Source organism: Homo sapiens, chromosome X, assembly GCF_000001405.40.
Source record: "Homo sapiens chromosome X, GRCh38.p14 Primary Assembly".
NCBI lineage: Eukaryota > Metazoa > Chordata > Mammalia > Primates > Hominidae > Homo > Homo sapiens.
In genome coordinates, this window is record NC_000023.11 from 109,880,668 (window position 1) to 109,890,939 (window position 10,272).

The 10,272-nt window shown below is 42.8% G+C and overlaps 1 annotated feature.

The window, feature by feature from the left end:
• Positions 230–309: an enhancer, noted in NCBI's record as "active region_29849". NCBI's record gives its function as "activates an Ori minimal core promoter by ATAC-STARR-seq in GM12878 lymphoblastoid cells {active_cell/tissue: GM12878}" and the evidence as "EXISTENCE:reporter gene assay evidence [ECO:0000049][PMID:35858748]".

The window sequence follows — 10,272 nt, forward strand, 5'->3', positions numbered from 1 at the left end:
ATCCAAACTCATTAAAATGGTGTAAAAAACCCTATACTTTCTGGTCTTTACCTACTTCTCCCACCTTATCTTTCATCACCCTCTCCCTCACTTGCTCAACAGCAGCCATACCCAGCTGCTTTCTGTTCCTCAAATAAACCAAGCTCTCCCCACCGTCAGGGCCTTTGCACTTGTTGTTCTCTCTGCCTAAAACCCCTTTCCCTCACATCACCATATGACTGACTCACTCTTTTTTTTTTTAATGTTTTTTCTGTCACTGTGAAATGAGTAGCAAAGTACTGTTTCTCAGGCATTCATGATCTGATCCTTTTTTTTTTTTTTGACGGAGTCTTGCTGTGTTGCTCAGGTTGGAGTGCAGTGACATGATCTTGGCTCACTGCAACCTCTGCCTCCTGGGTTCAAGCAATTCTCTTGCCTCAGCCTCCTGAGTTGCTGGGATTACAGGTGCCAGCCACCAAGCCCAGCTAATTTTTGTATTTTTAGTAGAGACAGGGTTTCACCATGTTGGCCAGGCTGGTCTTGAACTCCTGACCTCAGGTGATCCACCCATCTCGGCCTCACAAAGTGCTGGGATTACAGGCGTGAGCCACCGTGCCCAGCCCATGATCCAATTTTTATATTTCTTTATTGAAATATAATTCACATACAATAAAATTCACCAATTTGAAAGTATATAAACCCATGGTTTCTAATATATTCAAAGTTGTGAAATCATCATCACTATCTAATTTCACACTTTTCTTCACCCCAAAAAGAACCCCCAGATCTTTTAGCTATTACCCCTTATTCCTCTTCTCCTCACCAACCATGAATGTGTTACCTGTCTCCATAAATTTGTCTATTCCGGAAATTTCATATAAATGGAATCATACAATACATGGCCTTTTGTGACTGGTTTATTTCAACTGGCATAATGGTTTCAAAGGTCATGTTATAGCACAACTTCATTCCATTTTGTAGTGGAATAATATTCCATTGTACGGTTATACCACATTTTGTTTATCCACTAATTGGTTGATGAACATTTAGGTTGTTTCCACTTTTTGACAATTATGAATAATATTGCTATGAACATTTGTGTACAAGTTTTTGTATGAGCATAGGTTTTCATTTCTCTTGGGTATATATGTAAGAGTTACATGACTGAGTCATATAATAACTATACTAATATTTGTTGACTGACACACTTTTATTCAGGACTCTGCTCAAAGGGTACCTCCTCTGAGAGGCCTTCCCTGACCACTCCATCTAAACTAATTACCCATCCCCACCATCACATTACCCTATTTTGTTTTCTACGTAGCACTTTCCACTATCTAAAATAATCTTGTTTATTGTTTCAGTCTCTCCCTACTAGAACATCAACTCTACAAGGACAGAATGTTGTCAATCTTGCTCACTGCTGTGCCCTCAGTACCTACGGACAATGAGCAGCACACAGAGAATATTCAATAACTATTTGCTGACTACAGGAATTAATCTATGGCAGAAATGTTCTTTTTTCCTACCACAGGGAGTATTTACAAATCTACTAATGACTATTTTAGTGCTTTTCTATTCCTTTAATTGTTCTTTGGGAAAAGTAAAAACTCACTCATTTCAATTATAGGAAGAAATAGCTATAGCAAAGACTGTGTCGATTATTTGACTTAGATTTGCCCTTCCCATCCAACCCTTTCATCTCCACCCCAGGGATTGCAAAATTCAACCAAAACAGTATTCCTTTAGCGGCTGATCCCTAAGATTGAGAGGGATCGGGGAGACCAAGGTGGGCAGATTGCTTGAGTCCAGGAGTTTGAGATCAGCCTGGGGAACAGGGTGAAACCCCGTCTTTACAAAAAATACAAAAATTAGCTGGGTGTGGTGGCATGCAACTCTGGTCCCAGCTACCTGGGAGGCTGAGGTGGGAGGACCACTTGAACCCAGGAAGCAGAGGTTACAGTGAGCTATGATCATGACACTGCATTTCAGCCTGGGTGACAGAGCAAGACCCTGTCTCAAAAAAAAAAAAAAAAAATTAGATGAGGGTATTAAAGGAAAGAAAACTCCAGTGAGTAAAATGAGTTGTGAGATGCCCCATGTTGCAGAGTTGTAAATTGAGGGTTTCTCCTTTGAAAAATGAGGCACTCTTCAAAATGCCTAGAATTCCTTTTTTTTTTTTTTTTTTTTTTTTGAGACAGAGCCTCACTCTGTCGCCCAAGCTAGAGTGCAGTAGCAGGATCTCGGCTCACTGCAACCTCCGCCTCCCGGGTTCAAGCGATTCTCCTGCCTCAGCCTCTTGAGTAGCTGGGATTACAGGCACGCGCCACCACGCCCACCTAATTTTTGTATTTTCAGTAGAGACAGGGTTTCACCATGTTGGTCAGGCAGGTCTCAAACTCTTGACCTCGTGATCCACCCGCCTCGGCCTCCCAAAGTGCTGGGATTACAGGCATGAGCCACCAAGCCCGGTCCCGATCTTTAGATATAAATTTAAACGCATTTTTCCCTGGCAATACTCATATATCTAACCTGGAAATATTTCTAAGAAGAACAGTACTAGTTTGTTATAGCTTTATCAGGTAATGACAGAAAAGTTGTGTGATAACTTGGTTTTGACCCTGAAAAACAGTCATTTGCGTAAAACAAATGGTGCAAGTGTTGAGGGTAATGGGAGGAGGGTTATCTGAGGATTTTTTTCTCTTCTTCTTCTTCTTTTTTTTTTTTGAGACAGGGTCACACACAGTCTCACTCAGTCACCCAGGCTGGAGTATTGTTATCACGGTTCACTGCTGCTTCAACCTCCTCAGACTCAGTGATCCTCCCAACTCAGCCTCCCAAGTAGCTGGGACTACAGGCATGTGCCACCACGTCTGGCTATTTTTATTTTTTATTTTTTAGTAGAGATGGGGTTTTGCCACATTGGCCAGGCTGGTCTTGAACTCATAAGATCAACCGATCTGCCCACCTCAGCCTCCCAAAGTGTTGGGATTAGAGGAGTGAGACACAGCGCCCAGCCTTTTTCTCTTCTTTTTTTTTTTCTTTTTTTGAGACGGAGTCTCGATCTGTCACCCAGGCTGGAATACAGTGGCGCGATCTCCTCTCATTGCAACCTATGCCTTCCGGGTTCACACCATTCTCCTGCCTCAGCTTCCCGAGTAGCTGGGACTACAGGCGCCCGCCACCATGCCCGGCTAATTTTTTTTTTTTTTGTATTTTTAGTAGACACGGGGTTTCACCGTGTTAGCCAGGATGGTGTCGATCTCCTGACCTCATGATCCGCCTGCCTCAGCCTCCCAAAGTGCTGGGATTATAGGCGTGAGCCACAGCGCCCGGCCCTTTTTCTCTTCTTAATAGGAAATGATATCAAAATTTGTATGGAAAATGTTTTCCTAACTGGTTTGCTTCAATTTGCCTTCATATGCCCCTGTTTGAGAGTGGAGGCTTAAAAAAATTCTAGATGCAGAATTGAATCGTGTGATAACTCATTAACATTTCAGGAGAAATCAGAGTTGCCTGTATAACATTTTTGTATGCATCCTAATACCTTCCCTCATAACTTTGCATGTCAAGGATACCTTTCAGGAAGTGTTCGTTGTTTGAAATTTCTGGTTGAATATATTAAAGCTTTAAACAAGCATGTGTTGGGTATAGTCTTGGATAGAGAGTAGAGGCCTGGCAGGAGGAGTAGAGACCGTTTTCTAGAGCTTTCCCCAAGTTGGAAATTCTCCCAAATGTAATCACTTCTTAAAAGGAAGTTTTAAGTAGAATAGCTCAAAGTGCAAAAGAAAAGTAATCACAGTGTAAATGTTTATAAACGTAGATACATTTCTTACAACCATTTATTTGCTAATGCATGCCTGGTGTCTATAATAATATACAAAGCAGTGTGGAGTAAAACTAACAAGGTGAAGAGGAATATACTCAGGTCACCATTTACATGCAGTTTAAAAAGACGCAGAAGAACACTACATATTGTTTATGGATGCACTTATATGACGTAAAAGTACAAAAATGTGCACAAGAAGGACAATGTTCACATTCAGGGTCTTTGTAGATAGTAGGAGGATGAGAGCAGGATAATACACGGAGACCTCATTTGTATCAGTCACCTTTTGGTAAATGTTACTGAAATGTAATATATATATATATATATATATATATATATATATATAATAAATTGAAGGTGTACCCATGTAATCAGTGCTGTATCTGTGAAGTTTTGATTTGATTCCTTTATTATTTTATTATTATTATTTTTTGTTTTTCTTTGAGATGAAGTCTTGCTCTGTTGCCCAGGTTGTAGTGCAGTGGCTCCATCTCAGCTCGCTGCAACCTCCACTTCCCGGGTTCAAGCAATTCTTCTGCCTCAGCCTCCTGAGTAGCTGGGACTACAGGTGTGTGCCACCACGCCTGGCTAATTTTTGTGTTTTTAGTAGAGACAGGGTTTCACTATGTTGGCCAGGCTGGTCTCATCTTTCTAACCTCAGGTGATCCGCCCCCTTTGGCCTCCCAAAGTGGTGGGATTACAGGTGTTAGCCACTGCACCCAGCCATGCCTGAAATATTTAAAGGGAAAAAAACAAAACAAAACAAAACTCCACAAGGTCCCTGTAGGGCCAAGGGAAAACTTCCCATTCACCCTCTGAAGTTTCACTAAAAATCACTGACAAGAGGCAAATGAGCAGGAGAAAAGGCATACAAATTTATTTAACATGTATGGGAGTCTTCATTCTGAAGACTCAAGGATACAGAAGTTGTCCATTTTTATGCTTAGGTTCAACAAAGTATGGACAGCCGTGTGGAAATGTGGTTGGACAAAAAGAGTATGATCTAATGAATAGACTTGAGTGGAGGAAACCCAGCAAGTCCTCTCTAGATTCTTTTAGGCCTCTCTGAGCACGCATTCCTTCCTTCTGGGTGTGGGGCAGGACCCTCTCTGGAATGGGAGGTCTTATGACCTACAGTCAAACAAGGTAGGTCACATCATTTCTTTATGGCTGGTTTTGACACAGAAAAGTGGAAGGAAAATTAGAGCAGTATTTTTACGTTTTGTGTCTGGCTTTGGGGGAGAGGGGTTCTGGTTTCCATGACCTGTTTTGGGGAAGAGCGATTCTAGTTTCCTTGGCTAGCCTTGGGTGAGAAAGGGACTGAGAGACAGGAGGGCAGGAGAAGGTCAGAGAAAAACTTCTGCTCCTGTGGATGCTGCTGAGGCCTTCATTTTGGGGTATTGTTTTCTGAATCCCAACAGCCCCAAGTGTTAGAGTACCCACTCCTTTAAATTCCCTTTCGCCTGTAAAGGCCTATGAAAATCCAATCAAAAAGAATCTTTGGGCAAAGTGATTTAAAAAACATAAGCACTACAAGTTACAATATGTCATTTTTCATTTTATGTCATTTTAATGTATGCTATCATATCAAAATTTAAAGAATTGTATTGACTTGGATCCAATGAGAGGGAATTTAATGTATATTGGGGCAAACTTCCCCCTTTTTTTCTTCAGCCACCTCCTAGCCGAACCCCAAATTTCCACAAAACTGATGGGGGGTTCTATTGTCTGCCAGAGAATCAATCCCCTTTCTCCTCCCAGTGATGGAAAAAAAAGAAAAATAAATTGGGGGGAAGGGAACATGGGCTCAAGGTTGTTTTGGTTTGGATGCTACCAATGTTGCCCTCTGCTGGTGGAACGCTCAACTTGCAGATGACCAGTTGCGTTCTTTTGCTGCTGTCAATCTAGTCCAACCCCAATTTATAAACAGGCTGTGCATGCTGAAATTCACTGTTTAAAGCTTACCTGCATTTTCCCATAAATGGAATCACTGTTTCTCACAGTGGCTGAGCCCCCAGGGTCACCTCCCAAATCAATAAAGTAATCAAAACCTACCCATGTTTCTAGGGAAAATGCTATTTGGATTAAGTATTCACCAAGTGTTTCCTATGTGCAAGGTATTGCAAGGGGTAAAAATGTAATTCAAGAAGAGTCTTTGCCTCTAAGACAGTTATTTATCTTGTTAGGAGAAATAAAACATTAGCATGAGAGACTATAAGAAGCTATCTGAAGTGGCCTCTTGTAGTATATGCAGGGAAGAGCGGTACATTCAGAGAGATACATATGGGAAACAATGAAGATCAAAAAGAGGAAGATATCCCTTCTGGGAAGGAGAAACAGGGGAAAGCTTTTTGAAAGCAGTTGAAGTTGAGATGAACAATGACAGTAAAGGGGGTAGTTTGTTTCAAGGAGAAGTAATTATGGAAGCAAAAGCATGGAAGTAGGAAAACATGGGTTGTGGTCTAGAAATGGCAAATAATCCCTCCTATTGAGACAGAGTATGAGGGGAGAATCCAGATATGTAACTAACCGGAAGGTCCCAGGCTATCCTTGACAGCAGGAATAGGGACAACTTGTTGGAACTGCTTGGAGCTGGACAATGACTCCCCTCATTCAGGTGGTTCTGGGTGAGGGGGTAAAGATGGATAGTCCAGCGGATTGAAGACTGTGAGTTGCTGGGGAAAGGATGCTGGGATCTAGAATAGGTTTGTGAATTTGGAAGAGAAGCCCTGGTGAGGGCTGGGAAGTGAGCAGGAGATAGGGAACAGAGTCCCCCAATTTTCCCCATTCTGTCCCACTTCTCTATTCTCTTCTCTCTCATTTGTGGCCAGCCCAAGCAAGAGACTGGCACTGAAAGAACAAGAGGGTGAGGTGGGAAAACTTCAGGGGTAGCATGACTGGCTGAGAAGGATAGGATTCTCTCCCTTTTTCTCTCCCTTGACACTGTTATCTACTGCCTGCAGGGGAGGCAGGGGTCTTGGTAGTGGGTAGAGGAGGGGAGGTGAGAGTAGCTATGGAAATCAGGGGCTAAAAGGGATTTTTCCTTCATTCTTCTTCACCCTTCGAAGATAGCCTTTGTCACTGCTTGCCCTGCCAGGCGCCTGGCCTACAAGGGGCGAAAAATGGAGAAAGAGATGGATATCCTCCAGCCATGCAGCTAGGGTGTCAGTTCTTCTTTTTTTTTTTTTTTTTCTTTTCTTTCTTTTCTTTTCTTTTCTTTTTTTTTTGTTGTTTGTTTGTTTTTTTGAGACAGAGTCTTGCTCTGTTGCCCGGGTTGGAGTGCAGTGGCACGATCTCGGCTCACTGCAACCTTCACCTCCCGGGTTCAAACCATTCTCCTTCCTCAGCCTCCCAGGTAGCTGGGACTACAGGCATGCGCCACCACACCCAGCTAATTTTTTTGTATTTTTAGCAGAGATGGGGTTTCACCATACTGACCAGGCTGGTCTCGAACTCCTCACCTCAAGTGATCCGCCCGCCTTGGCTTCCCAAAGTTCTGGGATTACAAACATGAGCCACCACACCCGACCAGGGTGGCAGTTCTTGGGTGGCAAATAGATGTGGTTAGTCAGACATCCATCAGAGAGGCTGCCTACCTCTTTTTCCTACGTAAACGGAGGGAAAATTTATTGCTATTTGTGACATTCCCTGTGCAGGAGGAGAGAGCAACTTACTGTCACCAGAGAAGTTAAGGCACGAGTTTCAAACTCAATTTGACAGCAGTAATGATAACCATAAAATAGCATTTAAGCTGGGTGTAGTAGTGGCTTGCACCTGTAGTCCCAGTTGCTCGGGAGGCTGAGGTGGGAGAATCACTTGAGGCCAGGGGTTCTAGGTCAGCCTGGGTAACAGAGGGAAGACCTGCATCTCTAAAAAAAAGAAATAACTAAAATAACTAGCTAGCATTGGTTGAGGGAATGCTGTGTGGCAGGCACTGAGCATCCTTATCTCACTGAATCCTCACAGTAAAAGCAGTACAGATGCAAGCCCTAAGGTCAAGCCAATCTGAGTTTAAGTCTTCACCCTGTCACTCACTAGTTAAAGCATAGTGCTTGACACAGAGTAAAAACTCAGTAAATACGGAATAAATATTCATCAATTAACAAATCAATTGATATTAGTCATTAATATGAATAAATATTACTATATACACACAATCAATCATATGAAGCAGGTACTATTACTATCTTCTTCTTATAAATGAGGAAGTTGAGGCCCTGAGAAATTAAGGACTCTGTACAAGTTTACACAGCTACTAAGTGGCAGAACCTGAATTGAAAACTAGTTGTCAGTGCAGAGTTTCTGTTTGAGATGATGACAATGTTCTGGAAATAGATAGTAGTGATTGTACAGCACTGTGAATAGACTTAATGCCACTGAATTATATACTCAGAAATGATTAGAATGGTACATTTTATGTTATGTATACTTTAACACACACACACACACACACACACACACACACACACACATACACACATCAGTTGTCAGACACTGGGATTTTAACCACTGTGTCATATACATGACCTCTCAATGGGCATTAATCAAGTTTCTATTATTCAGAAGACCCTCCCAATGTCATAAAGCGAGGGCTAAATTTGCAATCAAAAGACCTCTGTTCAAACACCGTATCTGCTTCTTACAATGAGTAAGTGGCTAAGACTTGTCTGAGTTTTCTTGGGCCAAAAGGGGTACAAGTCATACACAAGCCTTTCTCCAAGAGTTCACTTCAGTTGCAGACACTCAGGTCCCTGTAATGTTACTGGATAACCTTGGGGAGAGGGGATCCAGATCAATTTGAGCCCCTGACAAGGAGGGCAAGGAAGCTCTGAGCCAGCTTACCCATTCTTAGTTACTCCTCTTCCCAAAGTGAAATGTGGCAGCTACTGGGTGGGGACTTTTAAGAGGAAGTGAGACAGCTACTGATAGGGGAACTTGAGGAGGGCCCCCTTGGAAAGGGGAAGGAAGATGAGCACATATTGAGATAAACCATTTTCAGGGTGTTAAAACTAGATTAAAACCAGTGTTTTTACATGTCACAAAAAAGAAATCCACACCACAAACAATCCTAGTAGCTACTTTTCCTGCAAAAGTAATCATTCTTTTATCCAAGGTTCCTTGGGGATTAAACAACAACAACAAAAATCCCTCAAAGTCCTTGTCAGCTTCTTTGGTTCCTCTATGACTTTTTACTGTACTCAATGGAGAGAAGTGCTCAGTAACAACCGAGTCCCCAGATACACCATGACATTGCAAGAGAAGATGAAACATGAGGAAATCCACCCCCTTCCCATTTTCCAGACCACATCCTCCTCCCCTGTTCAATCTCCCTAAAGTTTTCACTAGGCTTGTTCAGGTCAGGAATGAACTATAACCAGTGGATGCTGCCCTCTGCTGCAAAGCAGGCTTCATCCGCGGCTGCACAGCCAGTCTTGGCTTCCACAAGACCTCTCTTGTGTTAATGATTCAAAGCACATGTTTGTAATTAAAAATAACAATAATAATTCAGGGTACCAGGCTGACCACGCAAATATAGTTATCCTGAGAGGGGGGCTTGCAGAACACCTTTCAGGGCAAATCCCCCACCACCTTTACATAGGACTGAGACAGCCTAGAAAAGTACAGAATGCTTTACTGTTATTTTCCTCATCCTGGCCCCATGCACTAACTAGACACAGTCTTTCCAGAGAAATACCAACATGACACAACCCCACGGGGGCATTGGGTCCCTCTGTTCTGGATTTGCCTCCTTCTGCTTCACTTCAGTTGTCTTAATTCCATTCACCTTGGTTCTCTGAGCCCCGGTTGACACAGCACACTGGCTCTCTACGCTCCCCTCTGTCTCCTTCTGCTGCCATGCCCTATTGTAGCCATGTCCTTCCATCTGGCACTCAGAAATCTTTCCCAAATGTCATTCTGCTAGTCTCCTGACACCTTCACACAATCTGCCCATCCTCTTGGACAGAGCTGACATGGTCCCCGAGGCTGGGGATGCTAGAGGCCACCTAGTAGCCACTAGGAAGCAATGCTTGTACTCTGTGCCCTGTGCACTCAGTGACAGGCAAGGAGGCTGTGGAACTATTCTCACAATCATCCGGACCTGTCTTCTCAACCCCATTGGTGCTGCCACCTAAGAGATTAACAAGGGAGGCCACTAGACTCAGATTGCTCAGATACAATTATAACTGGAAACATTGGGTTCTAAGGAAACACTGCATAAATCACACTCTTCCCTAGCTGGCTGACTGGCAATACGGTGGGATCCCTTTTGCAAGCCAGAATATGTTGGAATTATACTGGAGTGATGTGGACTATACTGGATTTTTTCAGATTTCTAAACTGCTTTAAGAAACATTCCATAGCTCCACTTGGCAAGATATAAACAAACTTGTAGGAAACTGGGTTAGTTTTACCAGTCAAATGAGTTGGCAGCCCAATTCTTCTGTCTCAAAGAGATTAATGAG